Source organism: Homo sapiens, chromosome 7 (genome assembly GCF_000001405.40).
Source record: "Homo sapiens chromosome 7, GRCh38.p14 Primary Assembly".
Lineage (NCBI taxonomy): Eukaryota > Metazoa > Chordata > Mammalia > Primates > Hominidae > Homo > Homo sapiens.
In genome coordinates, this window is record NC_000007.14 from 934,375 (window position 1) to 959,977 (window position 25,603).

General features: G+C 58.3%; 1 protein-coding gene and 1 long non-coding RNA gene across 4 annotated transcripts in view, besides 15 other annotated features; one reads left to right on the forward strand and one right to left on the reverse strand.

Moving 5' to 3' along the window:
• Positions 1 to 21,033, reverse strand: part of ADAP1 (ArfGAP with dual PH domains 1) — a 57,508-nt gene extending 36,475 nt beyond the window's left edge. Inside the window, exons 1-2 of one of the 3 annotated variants that reach the window (NM_001284308.2) lie at positions 20,919 to 21,033; positions 1,001 to 1,131 (exon numbers count right to left, since the gene is read on the reverse strand). In NM_001284308.2, the coding sequence (NP_001271237.2) occupies positions 1,001 to 1,131; positions 20,919 to 21,033 (246 nt within the window). Of the gene's footprint in view, positions 1 to 1,000; positions 1,132 to 11,387; positions 11,443 to 20,021; positions 20,307 to 20,918 lie in introns of those variants that run through there. The other 2 variants (NM_006869.4, NM_001284309.2) reach the window with 2 other exon arrangements.
• Positions 2,581 to 2,630: a silencer, noted in NCBI's record as "silent region_17828". NCBI's record gives its function as "represses an Ori minimal core promoter by ATAC-STARR-seq in GM12878 lymphoblastoid cells {active_cell/tissue: GM12878}" and the evidence as "EXISTENCE:reporter gene assay evidence [ECO:0000049][PMID:35858748]".
• Positions 10,527 to 11,441: an enhancer, noted in NCBI's record as "H3K27ac-H3K4me1 hESC enhancer chr7:984537-985451 (GRCh37/hg19 assembly coordinates)". NCBI's record gives its function as "activates a minimal SCP1, AML or CMV promoter by ChIP-STARR-seq in primed H9 embryonic stem cells {active_cell/tissue: H9 hESC(primed)}" and the evidence as "EXISTENCE:reporter gene assay evidence [ECO:0000049][PMID:30033119]".
• Positions 10,527 to 12,050: a biological region, named in NCBI's record as "P300/CBP strongly-dependent group 1 enhancer GRCh37_chr7:984861-986060".
• Positions 10,851 to 12,050: an enhancer, noted in NCBI's record as "P300/CBP strongly-dependent group 1 enhancer chr7:984861-986060 (GRCh37/hg19 assembly coordinates)". NCBI's record gives its function as "activates an origin of replication core promoter dependent on BRD2, BRD4, P300/CBP, MED14 and CDK7 cofactors, with strong dependence on P300/CBP, by STARR-seq in HCT116 cells {active_cell/tissue: HCT116}" and the evidence as "EXISTENCE:reporter gene assay evidence [ECO:0000049][PMID:35650434]".
• Positions 11,279 to 11,573: an enhancer, noted in NCBI's record as "tiled region #8554; HepG2 Activating non-DNase unmatched - State 4:PromP". NCBI's record gives its function as "activates a minimal TATA promoter and a strong SV40 promoter by Sharpr-MPRA in HepG2 cells {active_cell/tissue: HepG2}" and the evidence as "EXISTENCE:reporter gene assay evidence [ECO:0000049][PMID:27701403]".
• Positions 14,536 to 15,181: an enhancer, noted in NCBI's record as "H3K27ac-H3K4me1 hESC enhancer chr7:988546-989191 (GRCh37/hg19 assembly coordinates)". NCBI's record gives its function as "activates a minimal SCP1, AML or CMV promoter by ChIP-STARR-seq in primed H9 embryonic stem cells {active_cell/tissue: H9 hESC(primed)}" and the evidence as "EXISTENCE:reporter gene assay evidence [ECO:0000049][PMID:30033119]".
• Positions 15,182 to 15,826: an enhancer, noted in NCBI's record as "H3K27ac-H3K4me1 hESC enhancer chr7:989192-989836 (GRCh37/hg19 assembly coordinates)". NCBI's record gives its function as "activates a minimal SCP1, AML or CMV promoter by ChIP-STARR-seq in primed H9 embryonic stem cells {active_cell/tissue: H9 hESC(primed)}" and the evidence as "EXISTENCE:reporter gene assay evidence [ECO:0000049][PMID:30033119]".
• Positions 18,756 to 19,367: an enhancer, noted in NCBI's record as "H3K4me1 hESC enhancer chr7:992766-993377 (GRCh37/hg19 assembly coordinates)". NCBI's record gives its function as "activates a minimal SCP1, AML or CMV promoter by ChIP-STARR-seq in primed H9 embryonic stem cells {active_cell/tissue: H9 hESC(primed)}" and the evidence as "EXISTENCE:reporter gene assay evidence [ECO:0000049][PMID:30033119]".
• Positions 19,493 to 19,702: a silencer, noted in NCBI's record as "silent region_17829". NCBI's record gives its function as "represses an Ori minimal core promoter by ATAC-STARR-seq in GM12878 lymphoblastoid cells {active_cell/tissue: GM12878}" and the evidence as "EXISTENCE:reporter gene assay evidence [ECO:0000049][PMID:35858748]".
• Positions 19,993 to 20,482: a silencer, noted in NCBI's record as "silent region_17830". NCBI's record gives its function as "represses an Ori minimal core promoter by ATAC-STARR-seq in GM12878 lymphoblastoid cells {active_cell/tissue: GM12878}" and the evidence as "EXISTENCE:reporter gene assay evidence [ECO:0000049][PMID:35858748]".
• LOC124901569 (uncharacterized) lies at positions 20,480 to 21,116 on the forward strand. The gene is made up of 2 exons (XR_007060178.1): positions 20,480 to 20,890; positions 20,994 to 21,116. It is a non-coding gene; the product is annotated as an uncharacterized LOC124901569 (long non-coding RNA).
• Positions 20,502 to 20,657: a silencer, noted in NCBI's record as "fragment chr7:994512-994667 (GRCh37/hg19 assembly coordinates)". NCBI's record gives its function as "represses an EF-1alpha promoter that drives an FKBP-Casp9 reporter gene in an ReSE screen in HepG2 liver carcinoma cells {active_cell/tissue: HepG2}" and the evidence as "EXISTENCE:reporter gene assay evidence [ECO:0000049][PMID:32094911]".
• Positions 20,502 to 21,199: a biological region, named in NCBI's record as "H3K27ac-H3K4me1 hESC enhancer GRCh37_chr7:994600-995209".
• Positions 20,513 to 20,612: a silencer, noted in NCBI's record as "silent region_17831". NCBI's record gives its function as "represses an Ori minimal core promoter by ATAC-STARR-seq in GM12878 lymphoblastoid cells {active_cell/tissue: GM12878}" and the evidence as "EXISTENCE:reporter gene assay evidence [ECO:0000049][PMID:35858748]".
• Positions 20,590 to 21,199: an enhancer, noted in NCBI's record as "H3K27ac-H3K4me1 hESC enhancer chr7:994600-995209 (GRCh37/hg19 assembly coordinates)". NCBI's record gives its function as "activates a minimal SCP1, AML or CMV promoter by ChIP-STARR-seq in primed H9 embryonic stem cells {active_cell/tissue: H9 hESC(primed)}" and the evidence as "EXISTENCE:reporter gene assay evidence [ECO:0000049][PMID:30033119]".
• Positions 23,854 to 23,913: a silencer, noted in NCBI's record as "silent region_17832". NCBI's record gives its function as "represses an Ori minimal core promoter by ATAC-STARR-seq in GM12878 lymphoblastoid cells {active_cell/tissue: GM12878}" and the evidence as "EXISTENCE:reporter gene assay evidence [ECO:0000049][PMID:35858748]".

Consider the following 25,603-nt stretch of genomic DNA (forward strand, 5'->3'; position numbering starts at 1 on the left):
TCAGTGGTGTTGGAGAGGGGGGGCCCAGGGTCAATGGTGCTGGAGAGGGGAGAGACATGTACAGGAGGCCACCAGCCTCTACGACCCTCCCCATCCCCACAGCAGCCCCCAGACCACCACTCTCACCTCCATGCGGCCCTTCGGTCCCACTCACAGCAGTCAGGAAGATCAATGGCTTCCAGACCCCAAGTCCCACGAGTGGGGCTGGGGTGACCCTCCCACCGGGTCTTCAGGCCCCACGCTCCATCCGACCTGCAGCCCCCAGCCGGGGTCTTGTTCCTTCTCCACCTCCCTCGGGGTCTCCCTACGGGGCCCTTCCTGCCGCCTCCAGCATGCGTGGCCCCTCCCTGCACGCCAGGGCTTCCTGGTTGGCTCACACCCGTCTCCCTCCCCATAGGGGCGTCTCTAGGGCCCCACGAAGCATCTGTGGCTGGTGTCCCTGCCTGGCCATGCCAAGTGCTCCGTGAAGCCTCATCAGATGCATGGGTGAGAGGTGGGCAGTGGCTGTGTCACCTCAGAGGCCGCCCAGGGGACAGGTAATGGTGCCCTACACGGCAGCGGGCCGGGGTGCACGTGGACTGCCGTGTAAATGCGACCCTGACTCTGGGTCGTGCCGCGCGGCCTGGGACGCTGCATTCTGTTTCCTTAGAGACAGGGTCTCTTTTACCCTGAGCCCAGTGCTCCAGGTGTGGGGATTTGAGGGGAGCACTCCGGAGCTCCCAGGGCACGGGAATCGGCGACCCGCCTTCGCTCCCTGGCCCACCACACACACCTGGAGCTGCTCACAGAGAGGTTGGACCCGGCACGGGGTGGGTGGAGCAGCCACACAGGCGGAGCCGCTGGAGAGGGGGCGGGGTCCTCGGGTCCAGCCAGCCAGGCCCCCAGAGTAGCCCAAGGCTCCAGGGGCCACAGCCAGGCCGCCCGGCATCTCTGGCTCCAGAGGCCCGGGCTGAGGCCACCCGGGGACTGCGCGGGTCCCCCCGCCCCTCCCCCTCCGTACCTCCACTTGGGCCTCCTCCCAGGCGTCCAGGCGGACGGACTTCACCTTGCTGACCTGGGGGATATTCCGGTGGATTCCCGAGCAGCTCAGGCAGATGAAGACGCCCAGAGTGTAGGAGGCCCAGTCGGGATCTGCAAGGGAAAGCCGGACGTTCACGGAGGCTCAGCCCAGGGACCCCGGAGGGAGGGTGGACGGAGCCTCGAGTCAGGAGCCCCCGGCCATGCAGTGGGGGGGGCTTCAGCGGAGACCCCCGGGTACACCAGGCTCCGTGCGCCCCACAGGCACCTAACCCCAGCTCCCCCCCCGCCCTCTGCCCGGTGCAGACGGGGCTCTCCCCAGACACCCCACGGCATCTGAGGAAGCCGATCTGCATGCACCTGCTCTGCCCCGCGGGTGCCGGGAACCTCCAGCAGAGGCCGGCCCCACAGGAGCCCATGCCCCGGGCTGGAGGGCACCCGGCACTCGTGAGGATGGGTCCACCTGCTTTCCTCGTGTCCGCTGCCCTGGGAGAAGTCTGTGGGCCCGAATCCTCCTGGGTGATGGGGCCAAGATTGGGAAATTCAGATAGGATCTGAGTGCAGGGGGTGCCTCACACCCAACGCGCTGCACACCCCCGAAGGACGGATGGTAGCCGCGGATGACGACGCACCCTGCGTGGGGTGACAGCGCCCGGCGGCCACTAACTTTGCAGGTGTGACAGCGGCGCTGTGGCTTCACCCTGCATGTGGCCTGTCTAGGGATTCCACGTCTCGATGTCTGGTTTGCCTTAAAAGGTCCAACAAAGCTGGACACAGTGGCTCAGGCCCGTAATCCCAGCGCTTTGGGAGGCTGAGGGAGCAGAATTTTTTTTGAGACATAGTCTGTTGCCCAGGCTGGAGTATGATGGCACGATCTCGGCTCGCTGCAACCTCTGCCTCCCGGGTTCAAGCGATTCTCCTGCCTTAGCCTCCCGAGTAGCGAGGCACGCACCACCATGCCCGGCTAACTTTTGTATTTTTAGTGGAGATGGGGTTTCATCATGTTGGCCAGGCTGGCCTCGAACTCTTGACCTCAAGTAATCCACCTGCTCGGCCTCCCAAAGTGCTGGGATGACAGGCGTGAGCCACTGCCCAGGGTGTGGGTGCCACAGCGCAGTCTTTCTGCTGCTGCACGTGTGAAATGTCTCATTCTGAAACGGCAAAATGTGGGGAGCGTCCAGCCCCGCCCTGGGGCGATGGCTAAGAGGGCTGCTGTGTGACTCTCCTGTTTTCTTCTGGCTCCCAACGACCCTTCACAATAAGTCAAGGGAGTGGAATGGCTGAAAGGCACCCTAGAGAGAACAGTCTCTCTGGGGGAGATGAGTCATCTCTGAACTGCTTTTATTTTTAAGTGGAGGCTCTCCTGGGTGAGGCTGGTGGAAATCGAGGCGCTTCCCCACAAGCAGGTGCGGCTGTGGACCCAAGCCTGTTTGGGGAATCATGAGTGGAGAGGACCCCACCCTTCAGGCCTGGCGGAGGATAGCCCCCCTCCCAACGCTGATCGGGGCCCACCCCTGGCTGGTGGGGGACTCCCATGCCAGGCGGCGGAGGCCCAGTGGGGCTGGGGCTGGGCCTGGGCTCTGAGTCACTGCCAGGAGGAGAGGCACCCAAGTGAGCCCCCGGCCGGGGATGGTGCGTGAGAACCAGCAGGCTGAACCTCGGATTTGGGGGTCATGCCCGGCCTCTGGGATTTGGGGGTCACGCCGGGCCTCGGATTTGGGGGTCACGCCCGACCTCTGGGATTTGGGGGTCACGCCCGGCCTCTGGGATTTGGGGGTCACGCCCGACCTCTGGGATTTGGGGGTCACGCCCGACCTCTGGGATTTGGGGGTCACGCCCGGCCTCTGGGATTTGGGGGTCACGCCCGACCTCTGGGATTTGGGGGTCATGCCTGGCCTCTGGGATTTGGGGGTCATGCCTGGCCTCTGGGATTTGGGGGTCACGCTGCACATCTGGGATTTGGGGGTCACGCCGGGCCTCTGGGATTTGGGGGTCACGCCCGACCTCTGGGATTTGGGGGTCACGCCCGGCCTCTGGGATTTGGGGGTCACGCCCGACCTTTGGGATTTGGGGGTCATGCCCGGCCTCTGGGATTTGGAGGTCATGCCCGGCCTCTGGGATTTGGAGGTCATGCCCGACCTCTGGGATTTGGGGGTCACGCCCGGCCTCTGGGATTTGGGGGTCACGCCCGACCTCTGGGATTTGGGGGTCACGCCCGGCCTCTGGGATTTGGGGGTCACGCCCGACCTCTGGGATTTGGGGGTCATGCCCGGCCTCTGGGATTTGGGGGTCATGCCCGGCCTCTGGGATTTGGGGGTCATGCCCGACCTCTGGGATTTGGGGGTCATGCCCGGCCTCTGGGATTTGGGGGTCACGCTGCACATCTGGGATTTGGGGGTCATGCCCGGCCTCTGGGATTTGGGGGTTTTCTGTCACAGCTGTTAGGCTCCCTGATTAATGAAGCCTGTCTCCCCATTAACGTGGGCTTCTTGAGGACCCCAGACCCAGCACCCCCGGATCTGGCACAGAGCTCAGTCCGGAGCAGGTCTCCACGGGAGTCATGAATGAAGGGGCCACTAACAGCCCTACTTCAGCAGAGCCCCTGTCTTCGAGAGAGACCACAGGCTTTCTCCTCACCCCTCAGTCAGTCAAACATTTGCCCAAGTGACCCTGTCTCGGGTACCAGGAGTTTTGCCTGTGCTGAGTAGGGCGGCTTTTGGGAGAAAGAATGCGGTTACAGGATCAGCCGTTGTTTGGTTTTGCGGGGTTTTTTTTGTCTTGTATTGTATTGTTTTGTTTTGAGACAGGGTCTTGCCCTGTTGCCCAAGGTGGAGTGCAGTGGTGCAATCACAGCTCACAGCTCACTGCAGCCTCCAACGCCTGGGCTCAAGCGATCCTCCTGCCTCAGCCTTCCAAGTAGCTGGGACCGCAGGCATGCACCAGCATACCCAGCTAATTTTTAAAATTTTTGGTAGAGATGAAGTCTCTCTATGTTGCCCAGCTTGGGCTTGAACTCCTGGGCTCAAGCGATCCTCCTGTCTTGGCCTCCTAAAGTGTTGGGATTACAGATGTGTGACGCCGTGTCTGGCCTGCAAAGTATTTAGTTACACACACCCCTGGAGAACAGGTGGGGAAGAACCACACTGAAGTCCCAGAAGAGAGAGACCTGACTCCCCCCGGGCTCCGTCTTCTCCCGAAGCCTTGGTGAAAGATGCCGCAAATGCTCGGTACGTGGCTGTGCGAGGGGCGCCCAGAAGGCACGCCAGTCTCCGGGCCTCGGTCTCCTCATCTGTCGGATGGGACAGCACGAGCCACTTACAGGGGTAGCAGGCAACATGAGCCCAGCTGGGAACATCACCGCTCGGGGTGCAGTGGGGGGCCCTCCTTCTCACCGCATGGCAATGCTGTTGGTTCTGCTCCGACAGTGTGGACCACGGACCCAGGCTTCCTGTCTCATGGCCTTTATCTGCCCATCTAGAAATTCTGAGGGAGGCTGAGCAACGGCCACCAACAGCTCCCGCCCAGCCCAGGGTCCAGAATGCCTGTGCCCACCTCCAACCTCACTCGGGTGCTCCGGGACAGGCTGTCCCTCTCCTGGCCTGGAAGGAGGCCTGTTCACAGAACCCAGGGAGCTGGGCCTGGAAGGAGGCCTGTTCATGGAACCCGTAGCAGGAGCTGGACTCTACGGCGTGGACCAGCTGCCTGTTGTTGTAAATAAGGTGTTACTGGAACTCAGCCATGCCCATTTATGAACTGTCTATAGCTGCTTTTGTGAGCGGTCGTTGACTAGCTGTGATGGAGACTCTACGGCCCTAAAATATTTACTGTCATTTTTGTTGTTTTTTGAGACAGAGTTTCGCTCTTGTTGTCCAGGCTGGAGTGCAATGGTGTGATCTCAGCTCACTGCAACTTCTGCCTCCCAGGTTCAAGTGATTCTCCTGCTTCAGCCTCCCGAGTAGCTGGGATTACAGGCGTGCACCACCATGCCCGGCTAATTTTCTATTTTTAGTAGAGATGTGGTTTCACCATGTTGGCCAGGCTGGTCTCAAACTCCCGACTTAGGTGATCCGCCTGCCTCGGCCTCACAAAGTGCTGGGATTACAGGCGTGAGCCACCACGCCCAGCCTACTATCTGTCTTTTTAAGAAAAAGTTTGCTGGCTGCGTGTGGTGGCTCACACCTGTAATCCCAGCACTTCGGGAGGCCAAGGCGGGTGGATCACCTGAGGTCAGGAGTGTGAGAACAGTCTGGCCAACATAGTGAAACCCCGTCTCTACTAAAAATACAAAAATTAGCCGGGCGTGGTGGCGGGTGCCTGTAATCCCAGCTACTTGGGAGGCTGAGGCAAGAGAATCACTGGAACCCGGGAGATGGAGATTGCAGTGAGCCGAGATCGTGCCACTGCACTCCAGCCTGGGCAACAGAGTGAGACTTTGTCTCAAAAAAAAAAAAAAAAGTTTGCCAATGTCTGCTTAGAGGGAAAAATGGGGGTGGCACAGATGAGTGAGCCCAAGAAGGGCTTGTAAGTAGGACTGATAGCTTACAGCCATTACTAATATAGCCTATCTTTGACAAACCAGCTACAAGTGAGGCTAAGGAGTGGTTACAACCTGTCCCGACCTCTTGCAACTGGCACAAGGTCCCCCGGTGTAAAGTTAGAGGTTGTCTGATGCAAACCTGTCACATCCTCCTTGGTATTTGTGTGTGAGCATATACATACGTGCGTGCATACCCACAGACACAACATGAACAGCCTACTGGGGAGGGCTCAGGGAGTTAAATGTGAAGAAATAGAGACACCAGCCAGGTGTGGGTGCTCACACCTGTCATCCCAGCATTTTGGGAGATTGAGGTAGGAGGATCACTTGAGCCCAGGGGTGGAGGTTGCAGTGAGCCGAGATGGCACGACTACACTCCAGCCTGGGTGTCACAGACCCTGTCACACACACACACACACACACACACACACACACACACACACACAATATGGAGACATGACCTTTTACATAAGAATCAAAAGACGAGAGCCAGTTAAATCAAGTGTGTTGGAGACAGGAGCAACACAAGGTTGTCACTGGTAGGGCAGGAAGTTTGTATCATTTTTAAAAAGCTTTTGTGGAGTTTTACTAGGATGACTAAAATTTAAAAGATGGATACTACCAAGTGTTGATGAGGATACAGAGCAAGTGGAACTCTCATCCACTGCTGGTAGAAATACAAATTAGTCCAACCCACTCTGAAAACAGCTTGGCAGTTTCTTACATAAAGATATATCTCCCATATGACACAGCCACCCTACTCCTAGGAATTTACCCAAGGGAAATCAAAATGTAGGTCCATAAAAAGATGTACATCCAACAATATATAAAAAGAGTAATACACCATGATCAACAGGGGTTTTTACCAGTAATGCAAGGTTGGTTTAACATTTGACCATCAATCAATGTCATTCACCATATTTACAGGTTAAAAAAGAAAAAACATACAATTGTTTCAATAGATGCAAAAAATGCTGGCAAAATGCAACATCCTGATAAAATTCTCAGAAAACTAAGAATAGAGGGGAATTTCCCCAATTTGATATAGAGGATTCAACAGATGCAAAAAATGTTGGCAAAACGCAACATCCTGATAAAACTCTCAGAAAACTAAGAATAGAGGGGAATTTCCCCAATTTGACATAGATGATTCAACAGATGCAAAAAATGTTGGCAAAATGCAACATCCTGATAAAACTCTCAGAAAACTAAGAATAGAGGGTAATTTCCCCAATTTGATATAGAGGATCTATGAAACATGTACAGCAAATGTCATATTCAAGGGAGAATGACTGACTGCTTTCCCCCAAGATCAAGAACAGGACAAGAATGTCTGTTCTAACCACTCCTAGTCAACGTTGAGCTAGAGATTCTAGTCAGTGCAATAAGGCAATATAAAGAAATAAAAAGCATCTAGATTGGAAAGGAAGAGCTAAAACTATCTTCATTAACAGACAACATGATTGTCTATGTAGAAAATAGAAAAGATTCTATTAAAAACAACTATGAGAACTAACAAGTTTAGCAAGGTTGAAGGATACAAGATAAATATACAAAAATCTATTGTATTTCTATACACTAGCAACAAGCATTCAGAAATTGAACATTTAAAAATACCATTTATAATAGCATAAAATGTATGAAAGAGGGATAAATGTGATGAGAAATGAAACATAGGACACTGAAAACTACAAAATATTGCTCAGAGAAATTAAAGAAGACCTACAGATTTTGGAAAGAGATAACGTTTTCGTGGGATGGGAGACTCAACATTAATAACACATATATTCTCTCCAAATTATAGATTCAATGCCATCCCAATCAGAATTTCAACAGGATTTTAAAAATAGAAATGAACAAGCTGATTCTAAAATTCATATGTAAATGCAAAGGACCTAGAATAGCTAAAACAACTTAGAAAAAAAAGACAAGGACGGGGAACTAACACTACTTGTTTTCAGAACTCATTAAAAAATTACAGTTATCAAGACAGTGTGGTGGTGTTGGCACAAAAACGGATAAACGGATCAATGGAACAGAATCGGGAATCTAGAAATAAACCCACACATATGTGGACAACTAATTATCGGCAAAGATATAAAGCCAGTTCTGGAGAGAGCGAACAATCTTTCCTACCAACGGTGCTGGAACAATCCGGTATCATCCACAACACAGTAAACAACCATCCCTCTCACCATATCCAAAAATTATCCCCAAATGCATCATGGTGCTAAAGGTAAAACCTAAAGCCATACAATTTTAAAAGAAAACAGGAGAAAAGTCTCCGTAACTTTGGGTTAGGCAAAGATTTTTTTCAGATACAACACCAAAGGCAGAATCCACTGAGAGAGAGAGGAGGAGGAAGAGAGAGGAGGAGGAGGAAGAGAGGAGGAGGAAGGGAGAGAGGAGGAGGAAGGGAGAGAGGAAGAGGAAGAGAGAGGAGGAGGAGGAAGGGAGAGAGGAGGAGGAAGGGAGAGAGGAGGAGGAAGGGAGAGAGGAGGAGGAAGGGAGAGAGGAGGAGGAAGGGAGAGAGGAGGAGGAAGGGAGGAGGAGGAAGAGGAGGAAGGGAGAGAGGATGAGGAAGGGAGAGAGGAGGAGGAAGGGAGTGAGGAGGAGGAAGAGAGAGTAGGAGGAAGAGAGGAGGAGGAAGGGAGAGAGGAGGAGGAAGGGAGAGAGGAGGAGGAAGGGAGAGAGGAGGAGGAAGGGAGGAGGAGGAAGAGGAGGAAGGGAGAGAGGATGAGGAAGGGAGAGAGGAGGAGGAAGGGAGGAGGAGGAAGGGAGAGAGGAGGACGAAGGGAGAGAGGAGGAGGAAGGGAGAGAGGAGGAGGAAGGGAGGAGGAGGAAGAGGAGGAAGGGAGAGAGGATGAGGAAGGGAGAGAGGAGGAGGAAGGGAGGAGGAGGAAGGGAGAGAGGAGGACGAAGGGAGAGAGGAGGAGGAAGGGAGGAGGAGGAAGAGGAGGAAGGGAGAGAGGATGAGGAAGGGAGAGAGGAGGAGGAAGGGAGTGAGGAGGAGGAAGAGAGAGGAGGAGGAAGGGAGTGAGGAGGAGGAAGAGAGAGTAGGAGGAAGAGAGGAGGAGGAAGGGAGAGAGGAGGAGGAAGGGAGGAGGAGGAAGGGAGAGACGAGGAGGAAGGGAGGAGGAGGAAGAGGAGGAAGGGAGAGAGGATGAGGAAGGGAGAGAGGAGGAGGAAGGGAGTGAGGAGGAGGAAGAGAGAGTAGGAGGAAGAGAGGAGGAGGAAGGGAGAGAGGATGAGGAAGGGAGAGAGGAGGAGGAAGGGAGTGAGGAGGAGGAAGAGAGAGGAGGAGGAAGGGAGAGAGGAGGAGGAAGGGAGAGGAGGAGGAAGGGAGAGAGGAGGAGGAAGGGAGAGAGGAGGACGAAGGGAGAGAGGAGGAGGAAGGGAGAGAGGAGGAGGAAGGGAGGAGGAGGAAGAGGAGGAAGGGAGAGAGGATGAGGAAGGGAGAGAGGAGGAGGAAGGGAGTGAGGAGGAAGGGAATGAGGAGGAGGAAGAGAGGAGGAGGAAGGGAGCGAGGAGGAAGGGAGAGAGGAGGAAGGGAGAGAGGAGGAAGGGAGAGAGGAGGAAGGGAGAGAGGAGGACGAAGGGAGAGAGGAGGAGGAAGGGAGGAGGAGGAAGGGAGAGAGGAGGAAGGGAGAGAGGATGAGGAAGGGAGAGAGGAGGAGGAAGGGAGAGAGGAGGAGGAAGGGAGAGAGGAGGAGGAAGGGAGTGAGGAGGAAGGGAATGAGGAGGAGGAAGAGAGGAGGAGGAAGGGAGCGAGGAGGAAGGGAGAGAGGAGGAAGGGAGAGAGGAGGAAGGGAGAGAGGAGGAAGGGAGAGAGGAGGACGAAGGGAGAGAGGAGGAGGAAGGGAGGAGGAGGAAGGGAGAGAGGAGGACGAAGGGAGAGAGGAGGAGGAAGGGAGGAGGAGGAAGGGAGAGAGGAGGAGGAAGAGAGAGAAGAGGAGAAAGAGAGAAATTGACCTCATCAGAATTATTACTATTATTATTATTATTGAGACAGGGTCTTGCTCTGTTGCCCAGGCTTGAGTGCAGTGAGGCAATCATGGCTCACTGCAGCCTCGACCTCCTGGATTCAAGTGATCCTCCCGCCTCAGCCTCCTGAGTAGCTGGGACTACAGGTGCGCACCACCATACCCAGCTACTTTAAAAAACTTTTTGTAGAAACAAGGTATTGCTATATTGCCCAGGCTGGTCTCTAACTTCTGGGCTCAAGCAGTCCTTCCACCTCAGCCTCCCAAAGTGCTGGGATTACAGGCATGAGCCACTTCGCCTAACCAAGTCCCTGTTTTATTTATTTTTCTTTATATTTTTAACCTTTTTTTTTTTTTTTTTGAGACAGAGTCTCACTCTATCACCCAGGCTGGAGTGCAGTGGTGCAATCTTGGCTCACTGCAACCTTTGCCTCTCGGGTTCAAGCAATTCTCCTGTCTCAGCCTCCCAAGTAGCTGGGATTACAGGCGCCCGCCACCATGCCTGGCTAATTTTTGTATTTTTAATAGAGACGGGGTTCACCATGTTGGCCAGGCTGGTCTCAAACTCCTGACCTCAGGTGATCCGCCCACCTCGGCCTCCCAGAGTTCTGGGATTATAGGCCTGAGCCACCGAGCCCGGCCTATTTTTAACAATTTTTAATCTTTAATTTTTGTGGGTACATAAGAGGTGTATATATTTATGGGGTCCACAAGACATTTTGCTACAGGCATGCAATGTGAAATAATCACATCACGGCAAACACGGCACCCATCACCTCAAGCGTGTATCATTTCTTTGTGTTACAAACAATCCAATTACACTCTTTTAGTCATTTTTAAAAGTACAATAAATTATTGTTGACAATCGTCACCCTGTTGTGATATCAAATACTAGATCTTATTCTATTCTTTGTACCCATTAACCATCCCCACTCTACCCACCCTGAGACTCTGTTTTAAAGAAAGATTCAGACCCTGGGAGGGAAGAGCCCGGGGGGGTGACTCTGGGTGACTCTGGGCGATGTCTTAAGGCCTCTGGTCTCTGGGAGAGTGACCTCGGAAGCCCTTGAAGGCACTGAAATAGAAGGTGGCCTTCTGATTTGAGTATGCTGAAGCTCTGCAGGGTGGGCTCACGTGTGTGTGTGCAGGTGTGTGTGTGTGCAAGGAGATGGGGAGCTAGAGTCCCCCAGCTTCCAGTAAGGAAAAAGCCTGGCTGGTCCCCAAGGCAGAAGGGACGGGCTGACCCTTCTGTTTTCCAAGTGACTGAGGCTGGGCTGGGCAGGCCTCCTTCTCAGGCTGCTGGGCATGGCCAGGCCTGCCTGCATCCGCAAATGCCCGCAGCCCATCGGAGCGAAAAGGGGCGGGGCACGCACTCTCAGAGACCCTCCAGGGTGGAAGGGGAGCTGGTCTGACGCCCCAGCAGCAGGGCCCCCACAGGCCCACGCAGGAGAGCCTCTCCCTAAGCCTGGGCTGCACTCCAGCTGCCCCCTCCACTCGGGGCACTGAACCGTGGGGCCGGCCCTGCTTCTGCCCAGGACCACTTCTGGGTTCCCAGGACTGTGGAATTTTGTTCCAAAATGCCTGGAGTCAGCACCCACGGCCTGTGGTGCCCCCAGAACAGGCCACAAGGCCAGCAGGTACACACTGGGCCCAAGGGTGGCTGCGGCATGGCTGATGTGGTGGTGGAGATGGAGGCCCTGAGTGCCAGGTAGGGAGGGGCAGGCCCAAGACTCCAGCCCCCACAAACATCCAGGCTGCCAGCACCGTCTCCAGGAGCTGCCTCCTCCTCGGAGACTGCCCACAGCCGCCAGCCTCTTTCCCTCCCTCCTCCCAGCCCCGCTCTGCCCTACCTGCTCCCAGGACGCCCGAGGTGACTCAGCCGCTCACCATTTCCGGAGCTGGTCTGGGGCACCTGGGCAGGTGAGCCACATTCTTGGGCGGAGCCAGGTGGGGCAGGCGTGTCCCCCAAGCCAAGGCCCAGGCTGGGGCACGGGCAGGGGGAAGGGCAGTAGCCAAGCCTGTCCATGGGGCCCTGGTTCCAGAGACCTTTGCCCTCCCAAGGCTGACGCACAGCAGAGATCCCGGTGCAATCGAGGCCGGGTCGGACGCTGGCTCTGGCCAGGCACGCAAGGGGCAGCCGAGGTGGGAGGGTGCCCTTGTGGGAGGGGCTCCGGTGCCCACCACCCTTCACAGCTACGTGAGGCGGGGCATGCATGGCTGTCCCCCAGGCACACAGCGCCCCACTCCACGCCGGGACCCAGGCCCCTCTCCAACTCCACCTCCGTGTTTTCCGCATATTGTCTCCCAGTTACCCGTGGCCCCTGCAGGGATCCAGGCTCCCGCCGGCCGGTGGATCCCCGCCAGCGAGGCAGTGACCTCTGGAGCTCCTGGGTGGGCTGGCAGCCCACACCTCCTCTCTGCCCAGGCCCCAGGCCCCCACCCCCTCACGCTCACGGGCGGCCCTGGTCCCATTCCATTGTGAGGATGGGGCCCTTTGGCCCTAGGAACAGGCCCTCCCAGGACCCAGATCCGCTGGCCCCTACCCGGTTCAGGGACACGTGCCCCTCTCCTGGATCCCTCCCAGCAGCACCCGGACACAGTCCATTTTCAGAATCCCCCAAGGACCCCCCCAGGCTCTGCCCTGCCCCTGCCCTCCCACCCTCTCTCCCTCCTGGTGCTCCAGCCCCATGGCGGGAACCCCACGGTGAAGGCCATCCCCAGTCCTCCCTGGACCCACCCTGTCCCGGAGCCCACTCTCTGGGGCCCCCACCCCGCGCCCCTCCAGGCTCTTCAGGGCCCTCGCACAGGGCCGACTCCTCTGCGGCCCATCTGGTCTCTCGGCTGTCAAACCCTATTTTTGGAACTCGATAGAGGTGGTGGTTGAACAGCATGGAGAACGTTCTAAATGCCACTGAATTTTCACTTTGAAATGATTAACCTGAGGCCGGGCGGGGCGGCTCACGCCTGCAATCTCAGCACCTGGAGAGGCCAAGGTGAACGGGTGGAGCCCAGGAGTTCGAGACCAGCCTGGGCAACATAGTGAGACACCGCGACTCCATCCTTATGAAAAAATTTTCTATAAAAGGTTAATTTTTCATATGAATTGCACCTCGATTTGGGGTTTTGTTTTTTTTCATTTTTTGTTTTTTTGAGAGAGGGTCTCTGTCACTCAGGCTGGAGTGCAGTGGTGCGATCATGGTTCACTGCAGCCTCGGCCTCCTGGGCTCAGGTAATCCTCCCACCTCAGCTTCCTGAGTAGCTGGGACCACAGGTGTGCACCACCACATCTGGCTGATTTTTTGGTTTTTTTTTTTTTTTTTTTTTTTTAGAGATGGGGGTCTCACCATGTTGGCCAGGCTGACCTTGAACTCCTGGGCTCAAGCGATCCTCCCACCTCAGCCTCCCAAAGTGCTGGGATCACAGGTGTGAGCCACCGCGCCTGACCTTGATTTTTTAAAAAAGGAGAGAGAGAGACATTCACACACTGGCAACCCCTGTCTCTAGCTCGGGCCTCTTTCCTCCAGAGCTGCCCGTGTGGCTGCTGTCCCCTTGGCGGCCACCGTGGCTTCTCACAGAGCCTCACATCGCAGGTCCCTCCCGTCTCCCTGGACACTGCTCCCACGTCCCCATCTCAGCGAGTGAGGTGCTGGCTAAAGGCCTGGGTGTCCTCATTTCTACTCTGCCCACCACACCCCGACATCCCGTTGACCAGCAAATATTTCAAGACGATCCAGGCTTTGACCCTCCCCACACTCACGCCCCGCCCTAGGCCTAGCCACCGCCACCCGGCCTCGGTCACTGCAGCAGCGTCCCACCCACCTCCCGCTCCCGCGCTGGCCCTACCTGCCCTGGACCCTGTGACGCGTCGTGGGCTGGGACACTCCTCGGCTCACAGAATTCCCATGGTTCCCATCCCACCCAGAGTCACAGCGCAGCCCTCACAGCGTCCCCCAGCCCTGCGTGGCCCCACAGCCACCTCTGACCCCGTCTCCCCGCCCTGGCTCTGGGCACACTGGCCTCCTCACTTCTCCTTTGACCTGCGAGGTGCACGGCTGCCCCCACCCCCGACACCACCAGCCCCTTTACCCCACTCCCTCTTCCGGAGGGGCCGTCTCCCTCCTCCACTGAGGACCCAGCACTGCCAGGGACCTGCTCCTCACCCCACACCTTGGCCACCCCACGGCCTGCCCTGAACCCACTCTATTCCAGCTGGGCCTTTCCCGCTCACAACCCCCGAGCCCCAGCCCCCATCCTGAATCTGCAGGACCTGACCCAGCCATGTCTGTCCCTCCCTCCTCACCCCATGTCTGCCCTGCCCCCTTGCCCGGGTGGGATCCCAGGTCCATCAGTGCAATGCCCTCTGCCCCTCACCCCTCCCTCCATCATTCAGTACGGAGCCCACCTCTGTACCCACCGAGGCCTGAGCTTCTGAATGGAACACGCCCTGCAGAAGCGCTCCATGGTGGCCCGAGTTTCGGCTTCCCTCCCCGCCGGCCCATGGCCTGGCCTCGTCCTCCATGAGGAAAACAGTCACTTCCAAAGCCTTCCCCTGCATGCCAGGCCGAGCTCCCACTGCAGGTCTCTGCCCCGGTCTTAGCAGAACTTCTCCAAATGCATCTCCAGGTGCCACGACCCCCTCTGGCCTCTCATTCACCTGCTAAGCTGTCACCACCACCACCTGGACAGTGACTTGGGGTCAGTTTGCTCCTCCCTGACCCACCTCCCAGCCCATAGGTGCCCAGTACTCCTTCCTGAAAACGCGTTTACGGGGCATCCAAGATTCTATGTCCTTTTTTTTCCCTTGAGACAGAATATCACTCTGTCGCCCAGGCTGGAGTGCAGTGGCATGATCTCGGCTCTCTGCAACCTCTGCCTACCAGGTTCGAGCGATTCTCCCACCTCAACCTCCCGAGTAGCTGGGATTTCAGGCGTGCGCCACCACACCCAACTAATTTTTGTATTTTTAGTAGAGATGGGGTTTCACCATGTTGGCCAGGATGGTCCTGATCTCCTGACCTCGTGATCCTCCCGCCTCAGCCTCCCAAAGTGCTGGGATTACAGGCGTGAGCCACCATGCCCGGCCCTCACTCACAATTCTTACTCTACCCTCGGCCCTCCTTGTCCCCAAGTGCCATCACCATCTGTCTGTCTTTGTCTCCCCACCAAGGAACAGCAGATGCTGAGAGTGAAGGGCTGGTCTGGTCCGGTCTCCCTGAGCCCCAGTGACTGCACAGGGCAAGGCACTCAGTACATGTGTACGGAGCGGGGGAAGGCGCCTTGCCCGCCGGAGTCCAGGGTAGGGCACCACTGGAGTTCAGCCCTTGTGGGCCTCTGCCTCCCCCGGGCACATGAGCACATACCTCCTGGCCACACGGCCACGTGCCGCCTCAGCCACCTTGGACCCCACCAAGTCCCTTCCTGTTTCCTCATTCTTTCATTTGCAAAATGGGGCCATGCAGCCACCTGACGGGTGACGGGAGAAGCAGTTGGGGGATGCGGCTGGCTGCCAGGTACTGCCACAGAGCAAGGCTTGGCAAATGCCTCTGAGTCTAAAACGGCAGTGGCCTAGGAGCACAGGGCCTGGGGGCAGGGGCAGTGCCACACCTAACCTGAGATATGTCCAGAGCTGAGGTCTAGCTCACAGCATCTGTGCGTCGGGGAAGCTGGCTGCGGTCACGGCCGGTGCAGCGGCCCAAGGAGTCCACAAAGCAGTAACCTTGGCCCACACCACAGCTCCGGTGCATTTGGAGAGGGGGCCCAGTCTAGGCTGAAGTTGGGGGGAGCCTGGCCAGGGCCTGGGCACCAGGCGCAGGACAGAGGGAAAGGCCTCCAGCTCCTCCCAGCCCTGAGTGCCAGCTCATCGCCCACACCAGCCCTCCACACCCGGCCACAGGGCAGGCAGGCAGGAAGCGGGCACGTGTGACCTGCTGGCCTGTGGCTTGAGTGCAAAACCAGGTAGGGGAAACCTGTCTAGCAGTTCTTCAACCAGGTAAGCACAGAATCGCCATGGGACCCAGCAACTCCAGTCCTGGGTACAGACCCAAACAACCTGAAGCAGGGTCTCAGAGAGACATCTGCACCCTCGTGCTCACACAGCACGATTCACAATGGCCCAGAGGTGGGAGCAGCCCAGTGTCCGCCTGCAGACAAACGGGCACACGCAATGTGGTTCATCCACACAGGGTATGATCCTGTCTTCACATGCAGGGAAATCCCAGCACTCGCCACAGCATCTGTGAACCTGGAGACGTTAGACTGAGTGAAACTGGCCAGTCACAAAAGAATGAATACCAGCCGGGCATGGTGGCTCACACCTGTAATCCCAGCACTTCGGGAGGCCGAGGCAGGCGGATCACAAGGTCAGGAGATCGAGACCGTCCTGGCTAACGTGGTGAAACCCCATCTCTACTAAAAATACAGAAAACTTAGCCGGGCATGGCAGCGTGCACCTGTAGTCCCAGCTACTCGGGAGGCTGAGGCAGGAGAATGGCATGAGCCTGGGAGGCGGAGCTTGCAGTGAGCTGAGAAGGTGCCACTGCACTCCAGCCTGGGCGACAGAATGAGACTCTGCCTCAAAAAAAAAAAAAAAAAAAAATGAATACCGCATGGTTTCACTTCTACAAGGTCCCTGGAGTCATAAGATTCATAGAGACAGAAAGTTGAGGCCAGGCACGGTGGCTCATGCCTGTAATCCCAGCCATTTGGGAGGCCAAGTTGGGAGGATGACCTGAGGTCAGGAGTTCAAGACCAGCCTGGCCAACATGGCGAAACCCTGTCTCTACCAAAAATACAAAAATTAGCCGGGCGTGGTGGCAGGCGCCTGTAATCCCAGCTACTCAGGGGACTGAGGCAGGAGAATCGTTTGAACCCAGGAGGCAGAGGTTGCAGTGAGCTGAAATGGCGCCACTGCATTCCAGCCTTGGGAACAGAGCAAGACTCCGTCTCAAAAAAAAAAAAAAAAAAAAAACAAGAAAAGAACAGAAAGTAGAAGGGTGGGTGCCCCGGACTGGGGAGAGGAAATCTGGAGCCCTTGTTGAATGGGGACAGAGCTTCAGTTTGGGAAGATGAGGAGGTTCTGGAGATGATGGTGGTGGCGGTGGCACGGTGAGTGAACGTGCTCAAGGCCCTGGAACTGTGCACTCGAAACGATGAGAAGGTAAATTATTATTTTTAAAAAATCCGGCCAGGCGCGGTGGCTCATGCCTGGAATCCCAGCACTTTGGGAGGCCGAGGCGGGTGGATCACGAGGTCAGGAGACGGAGACCATCCTGGCTAACATGGTGAAACCCCATCTCTACTAAAAATACAAAAATTAGCCGGGCGTGGTGGCGGGTGCCTGTAGTCCCAGCTACTCGGGAGGCTGAGGCAGGAGAATGGTGTGAACCTGGGAGGGGGAGCTTGCAGTGAGCCGAGATCGCACCACTGCAGTCCAGCCTGGGCGACAGAGCGAGACTCCGTCTCAAAAAAAAAAAAAAATATCCAACCTAGTTGGGCCGCTGCCCTGGGGAGTGAAGGGAGTCTGCCCAGCCCCCGCCCACACTCAGCAGCCTTCTTCCCACCCTCACCCATGCCGGCCAAATTCCTGAAACTGGGAGTTGGAGGTTGCAGTGAGCAAAGATCGTGCCACTGCACTGTAGCCTGGGTGACATCGAGAGACTGTCTTAAAAAAAAAAATTAGCTGGGCATGGTGGCATGGACCTGTAGTCCCAGCTACTCAGGAGGCTGAGGTGGGAGGATTGCTTGAGCCCTGGAGGCAGAGGCTGCAGTGAGTTGAGATTGTGCCACTGCACTCCAGCCTGGGTGACAGAGCGAGACCTTAAAATAAAAAAGAACAAAAGAGCTCAGACACCCCAGTCCTTCCGGGGCATCAGATGGCCTGAGACTCAAAGAGGACAATATGTGTGTTTTTCTTTTTTTTGAGACAGGGTCTCACTCTGGCCTAGGCTGGAGTGTGATCACGACTCACTGCAGCTTCCAACTCCTGGCCTCAAGCGATCCTCCGGCCTCGGCCTCCCAAAGCACTGGGATGACAGGCGTGAGCCACCGCGCCCGGTCCCTGTCCTCTGTTGCGATTTGGCAGGCAGCTCCAAGGATGTACGGAGGCACCCCTCCCTCCCCCAAACCCCCTCCCAGGATGGAGACCCCCACCCAGGTCTTGCAGGACAGTGGGTCCAGGCACGCCCCAACTCGCCCACCTGCCAGGCCTGTGATGAGAGGCTCTCTGGGTGGCCGCCGGGCGAGGCCCCCTGTTCAAGGTCAGGGGAACCCACTATTGGGACAGGTCATGGGGAGAGTTTGGAAGGAGCTTCTGTGGGGGCCGCAGAGACCCCAAGACTGCTTCCCTCACACGGCCAGTGGGTGGGGCCTGCTCAAGTCCACCCCAGCAGCCCCAGGCCTGGCGTTCAGAGGTGGTCTGGGACTGTCTGATGTCCTGCTGTCCAGGTCTGCACCAGCCGTGAGCCAGTGCACAGGACAGTGTTCTGAGGACAGCAGAACGTGCCGGCCACCCCAGCCCCCATCAACACTGGAGTGGCTCCTTGTCACCCAGCTGGGCCACAGCAGGTACAGGAGGCCCCAGAGCAGCTGGCATCAGCAAAGAAGCATAGAGCCCTCGAGGATGTGCCATGGGGTCATGGGGGGCTAGGCAGCCCCCTGCCTCCTGACACCGCCTGTTCCACCCTGTGGCCACAGCCCTGGGGAGCGGGGACAAGCAGAGCGGCCGGGTGTGGCTCATGTCCCCTAAGACAGCTCCCTTTGCAAGGCATCAGTCTCCCTGGCTGTGAAATGAGAGTGACCCCTCACAGCATCCCCCCTCCATGGCGCTACCCGACAGAGGAGACAAGTCACTGAGGTCATGGACAGATTCTGAAAAGGCAGAGGTGCGGCCCTCTACCCGGCAGCGTGGGGCATAGGGACGGCAGAGAACAGCTCTGGGGTGGGCCAGGCTGGAAGCTTAGCAGGTGGGCCGGGCACACCTGCACCCACTGGGAGGGGAGGACCACTGAAGGACCCAGCAGGCCAAGGAAGTCCCCTCTTCCTCCTGCCAGGCTGGGAGGCCCAGAGGGTGGCTGGAGAGGGGCCCTGAGTCCAGAGAAGCTGCTCCCAGGCTGTGTGGCCAGGGAGCAGAGGTTCAGAGGCAAGCCCAGCTCCCCTCCCCGTGGGCCACAGCAACCCCAGGCCAGGCCCTTTCCCACTGGCTTTCCTGGGGAGCGTTCCTGAACAGGAGGAAATAAAGGTCTGTGGGGAGAGAGTCTGGGGTGAGCCAGCCCAGGGGGCCACCCCCACCGCACCATTGCACGGGCCCTGTGGCCGTCCTGTCTCAGGAGACCATGGAAAGGCCGTGGGTCCTGCCTGTCTTTCCAGAAAAGCCTGTCGCTATCTCCCCTCTGGGACACCCCAGCTCCTGATGTGGCCTTTCCAGCCAAGCTGCAGCTGGACAGCAGCCACCACGACCTGGGGCTGGCAGAGACCCCTCCATCCCAGAGGGAATCAGGGACACCCCTTTTTCCGGGGTGTCCAGAGGCTGCATATTGAACCAGGGCCTTGGAGGCAAATGCAAGGTCTTCCCCCGCTCCCTCCCTGGGGGCCTCAGTCACCGCCGGTGAGTTTAGGTTTGTTCCGAGGGGCTTAGACTATTGGCCCCCAGATTCCTGGTGTGCCTGGGGTGGCGGGACTGCTCCGGCGGGGCCCTCTCTCCACAGCGCAGCCGGCCTGGGGCTGACAGCTCCCGAGCAGGGCAGGGCTGGTCTGGGCACTGGGCCCCGTTCACAGCCAATGACAGGACCAGTGGCCTGGAAGGGAGGGACTCCGCGCCTTTGGACTCCAGTGCCTTGAAATCCCACAGACCTGGGAACCGAGTCAGGGATGCCCGGCCGGGAGAACGAACGGGCGGGCGGCGGGTGGACCAGGACCTGCGTCCGGCCCCACCTCTCCCAGGCCTCACCTGTCCTGGCGCCCGCCCCGGAGCAGCCAGGTGCAGGGAGCCGGGGGCAGGGGCGCCGCTCACACCCAGGGACCCCCGGTGCGGGAAGGGCGTGAGGCATGACGTCACCGCGAGGTGGCCCCGGAGCCGGCGGACCCCACAGCCCAGCAGAGACCTCCGGCTGGCGGCCCGTTCCCTCCCTGCAGCCAGCCCCGATTTCCTCTTTCTGTGCGGAGCCCGAGCTTTCGCAACGCGGCGGGCGGTCCGCGGTGACCGTCAGACACGCAGCCCGGCGGGGGAGGGGAGGCGGCGGCAGGGGGGTTTCCGGGGGTCCTGGGGGGGGCCCCCCCGCTGCGCCCGGCCCGGGAAGACGTCCGGGTCCCCGCAGGTGCAGCCGGGCCCGGGCCCCATCCGAGCGCCGATCCGGCCCGGTGTTCAGCGCCGCCACCCCCGCGGCGTCCGCGCTCCCCCGCCCGGTCCCCGGGGCCCACCCAGGACCCGCCCGGCACCCCGCGCCCACCCCGGACCCACCCGGCCCCGCGCCCACCCGGCCCACACCTACCCGGGGCGCCGCAGTCCGCGCAGCGCGCGTTCCCCGGCCGCTGCAGCAGCTCCAGGACCGCCCTGCGCCGCTCCTTGGCCATGGCCGCGATGCGCCCGCGATGCCGATGCCGGGGCCGGGGCCGGGAGCGTCAGCCCGGCTCGCTAGGGCCCCGCGCAGGCCGCCCGCCGCCGCCGCCCCTGCGCCATCCCGGGCGGCCTCAGCCCGCGCGCCGGTTCCGCATTCCCGCCGCCCTCTGGGCTCCGCCGCCGCCGCTCGTGTCTCCGCCGCGGTCGCTGAGCGAGTGCCGGCGCGGGGCCCGGGGCGCACGCTGCGCTCTGGCCGGCAAGGCCCGCGGGCGGCCCCCAGCGGTGCAGGCGAGCGTGTGGCCTCCTCCCTCGGCCGCTCCGGCGCCCCCAGCCCGCGCGCCCCGGGGACCCGCTGGGAAATCGCCCGCCGCCCGCCCCCCATCCGCGCGCAGCGTCCCACCTGCCTGGGCGCGAGGCCGCCCCAAAACCTGGCCGGCCTGGGTGGGACCCTCGTGCCGCCGCGCGCGGTGGGACGGAGCCTGCACACCTACTGTGGGGGGCGCAGAGGGCACCTGCCGAGCCCCCCAAGACCATGGGCATGGGGGTGCTCGTGGAAGGCAGGTGTGCGTGTCCTGTGCTACGGACCAGGACCAGGGCGCTCACACCATCCCTGCCTGGGAGGGACGGCCAGCAGGTGACAAACGCCAGCGTCCCAGGGCACTGAGGCCACACAGGGCCCAGACGGAGCCTCCCCCTGAGACCCACCCAGCCGCCCACCACCCACAGATGGGACCCTCTGGGCACCCCTCCCACTCAGGCAGGCTGAGGGGCCCCGCCGGGACTTCACATGGGGGCTGACAGGTAACAAAAAACCTGGTTTTGATGTCACCTCTTCCCAGACTCGCGTGCCCTTCCTCTGCACACCCCAGCATCTTTTCAAATTCTTTCCATTTTCTTCTTGCAGGGTTAATGCAGTACACCCGGCTGAAAACAAACTGGAACATACCAGACTGAAAAAGGAAAGCCTCTCCCCACTGCCTTCCAGGCAACCACTGTTAACAAATTCCTCAGCACCTTCCAGAACGAACGTCTGAGGCCTGTAGCCTTTCATTTATTTATTCATTTATCGAGACAGGGTTTTGGCTAACGGCTGTAATCCCAGCACTTTGGGAGACCCTGGCGGGTGGATCACTTGAGCTCAGGAGTTTGAGACCAGCCTGGGCAACATGGTGAAACCCCGTCTCTACTAAATACAAAGAAATTAGCCAGGCGTGGTGGCGCATGCCTGCAATCCCAGCTACTTGGGAGGCTGAGGCAGGAGAATCGCATGAACCTGGCAGGCAGAGGTTGCAGCGAGCCGAGATTGCGCCATTGCACTCCAGCCTGGGCAACAAGAGTGAAACTCCGTTTCAAAAAAAAAAAAAAAAAAAAAAAACCAAACAAACAAACTCAAAAAAAGTTCAACTGAACCATGACTTGTTCACCCAGTCACTGGCATAGGGGCATTTAGAGCGTTTTGAATGCATCAGAATCATGGTCTACACAACCTCATCTTTGCAAGAGTTTTGTGTGGATTTGCTCTCAAAGTGGCATCGCTGGGGCAATGGTATGGGATGTGGAATGGCCTCCACTGAGGCTGCACTGACCAGAGTGCCACCAAAGGCACCTGTCCCCCTGCTCCAGCTGACGTGGAATCATGGAGCTGCTTAAGCTCTGTCTACCTGAAGCAGAACGCGGCAGCCCGTTTTGGTCTGTGTCTCTGGGATCTGTGCCCTGTGGCATCACGTGCTCTTTCCCTGTAACCGTTCACATGGGTCTTTCTCCTCCCTCAGACGGGAGGCTTTGGGGTGGGGACAGGTGGCATTTTCATCTCTGGGTCCCTGTGCCAGGCTCGGAATCCACCACACAGCATGAGCTTGGAGAATGTCGCCTAATAAAGACAGACGAACATTAATAGCAGCAGCTCAGCACTAGGTATTAGGAGAAATAGCCTGACTTGTATTTTCTATTTTCTTTTCTTTTCTTTTCTTTTTTTCCTTTTTTTTTTTTTTTTTTTGAGACAGGGTTTTGGTCTATCGCCCAGGCTGGAGTGCAGTGGCACGATCTTAGCTCACTGCAACCTCTGCTTCCTGGGGTCAGGTGATTCTCCTGCCTCAGCCTCCTGAGTAGCTGGGACCACAAATGGGTGCCACCATGCCCAGGTATATTTTTATTTTTTGGTAGAGACAGGGTTTCACCATGTTGCCCAGGCTGGTCTCGAACACCTGACTTCACGTGATCTGCCTGCCTTAGCCTCTGAAAGTGCTGGGATTACAGGCCTGAGCCACCACGCCTGGCTTGACGTGTATTTTCTTTTTTCTTTTTTTTTTTTTTGAGACAGAGTCTTGCTCTGTCACCCAGGCTGGAGTGCAGTGGTGCGATCTCGGCTCACTGCAAGCTCCGCCTCCCGGGTTCACACCATTCTCCTGCCTCAGCCTCCCCAGCAGCTGGGACACAGGTGCATGCCACCACGCCCGGCTAATTTTTTTGTATTTTTAGTAGAGACGGGGTTTCACCGTGTTAGCCAGGATGCTCTCGATCTCCTGACCTCGTGATCCGCCTGCCTAGGCCTCCCAAAGTGCTGGTATTATGGGCGTGAGCCACCGCGACCGGCCGACATGTATTTTCTTATTAAAGCCCCATTTTCAGCTGGGAAGACTGAGGCACGGGGAGGTTCGATCCCTTGCTGGAGGCCACACACCTCAGGACTGGAATATACATAAAACAATATAACAAAGCAACACACCCTAACATAGCCGTTACCCAAGGTCCCCAAAGACGGGGAGGCCATCATACAAGGCATAGAAAAGGCAGCAGGGAGGCCTCAGGGGAGCCGGTGCCCAACAGGCCAGAGCTTCTGGCACAAGCCAAGGCCATCTACTGCCTGCTGTTCCGGGGCCTCCTCCGTGGGGCAGCTCCAGCAGGCGAGTGTCTTGCCTTCTCTGTCCTTCCATCCCGCTAAGGGAACTGTGGCATTGCTCGGGGGGCAGGAGGGCGTGAGGATGAGACAGAGGTGGGTGAACCCCTCAGATCTAAGAGATGTCGGGGCTGAGGGGGATTCTTCCAAAGAGGAGGCTGCTCGGCCGAGATCCGCAAGTACCTGCCTGGACCCGAGAGCACAGCCGTCCTGAAATCCTGCTGCCCTGACTGGCTGTGGTCAGGGCTGGGCGGGGCAGTAGGGGAGCCCAGGACTCAGGAAGAATCCGGAAGGTAACAGCATAGCTCAGGGTGGGCCAGACCCAGACCAGTGCTGGTCAAAGGCTGTTCCGGCCAGCAGCGGCTGGCGAGGGGCCTGGACAGGCGGCGTGCCTGCTCCTGCTCATGCCCAGTGGCCTACAAGCTCTGCTGAGCCTCCTGCCCCTTGTCACTGACCCGCACGGCTGCACCAGGGACCCTGACACTCATTCCTCAAGCATCTCCCTAGTCCAGAGCCAGAGGCAGCCGCCTCCTGTGACCACTCGGCCACACAGCAGACCCTGGGCAGGGGGCTCCCGAGAGCAGGGCGAGCTCCTCCAGCGTCGCCTGAGCACGGGGCCTGCGCGTGGTAGGCCAGCAGGCGACTTTGATTGGAAGCTGGCTCCTCCCAGGCCTGCAGCTGCGGGGTGAGCCTCTCAGCACAGGCAGAAGGGGGCTCTCCCCAGGGAAGGGGCAAATGGACTGAGGCCGGGCTGGGCCCTGCTCTGCGACCATCTTGCCCAACAGTCAGCCGAGCTTGCTCAACCAGGAGCTGCCTCAGGGGAGGGGAGGTTGTGGAGGTTCACTTCCCTCTCCACCCCGCACAGGGGCCGGGGCTAATTCAGTCAAATTATCTGCGCTTGGACAGCGTCTGGCACGATGGCCGTGAGCTCAGTAGGCCGCCCTGCAGGCCAAGCAGGGGTCTTCAACATCCAGGCTCAGCGCAGGGGTGGGCAGCTCCTGGCTCTACCTGCCTCAGCTGTGGGGATGGGGGTCGTGATGTTGGGCCCCCATGTGGCCGGCCCCCTCCAGGGAAGCCCACTGGCTGTGGCCTCCACCCTGTCCTCTGCGACGTGCCTTTGGCCCTGCGCAGACCCTCCTGGGCCTTCTGACTGCTGTGAGGGCCCTGCCACCCCTCGGGCACCTGGAGTAGGAGTTCAGCAGCATACGGATCCTAAAGAGCTCTGCTCAGGAGGGGCTTAAAGGAGACACGGGGATTCCCCAGAAATAGCCACTGCGCCCCGAAATGCAGGGGAGGGGGAACCACCCAGGACCAGAGGTGGTCTCAGCACAATTTTCTGGGAGTGGGGCTAGACCCGGAAACCCCTTTGGAAGCAGGGAGTCCTCAGGGGCCTCCCCAAGATGTCATGCCATGGAGGTGGGTGCACAGGTTGGCTTACTGGGTTTTGGGGCATTTGAACATATCTTTTGCTTGGTTTTCCAAACAGAGATGGGGTCTGGAGTGGAGAAGGGGGTCGTGGAGAGCCATCCCCATAACCGACGGGCTGGTGGCAGGTATGGAGCTGGGCACTGCGCCCGGGCAGGGGTCCTGCCATCCCCCATCCTTTCCTCCCCCGCTGGGCAGCTGGCGTTGGCCTGACCACTCCAGTCACGGCCCAGGTCTCCCCAGGTGCCATCTCTTGAGGCCTGGGACCAGCAGGGTCCTCGGGGGCCGGAATCACGCACTTGGCATGGGGAGGAGGCCCAGACCCGACGCGGGACCCCGGGAGGTGCTCTCCCCCCACCAGCCCTGGCCCCTTTCCGCAGCGACCATCGGGCAGTAGTGTTTACAAAGTTCACACCCAAATTGGTGCAGCCTCAAGAAACAGTTACTTATAAAGAACCCATACAACTCAGTAATAAAAAGGCAAGTGAACCAATTAAAAAAAGGGCAAAGAATCTGAACACATGCGTCCCCAAGGAAGACACACAGCCGCCGACAGGCACCGGAAATATTCAGCACCATTAGTCGTCAGGGAAATGCCAATCACACCAGGATGCAGTGAAGACCTGGCGGGGGGCCGGTGGAGGGAGGCTAGGATTTACAGACAGACAGTGCCGGTGAGGATGGGGGAAGCTGGCCCCTCCCACAGCGCTGGTGGGTGTAAGACGGTGCAGCCGCCCTGGAAAACGGGCTGGCATGGAGCTACCGTGGGACCCTGGAAACCCACTCCCCGGTATGCGCCCGAGGACGGCAGAAAACACGTCCACACGCACCTGGACACGAGTGTTCTCAGCAGCATCTTTCCTTTTCTCTTTTTTTTTTTTTTCTTTTGAGATAGAGTCTCGCTCTGTCACCCAGGCTGGAGTGCAGTGGCATGATCTCGGCTCACTGCAACCTCCGCTCCCGGGTTCCAGCAATTCTCCTGCCTCAGCCTCCTGAGTAGCTGGGATCACAGGTGTGAGCCACCACGCCTGGCTGATTTGTGTATTTTTAACAGAGACGAGGGTTTCACCATGTTGATCAGGCTGGTCTCAAACTCCTGACTTCGTGATCCGCCTGCCTCGGCCTCCCCAAATGCTGGGATTACAGGCATGAGCGCCCAGCCTTATTATTTATTTTTTCAAGATAGGGTCTTG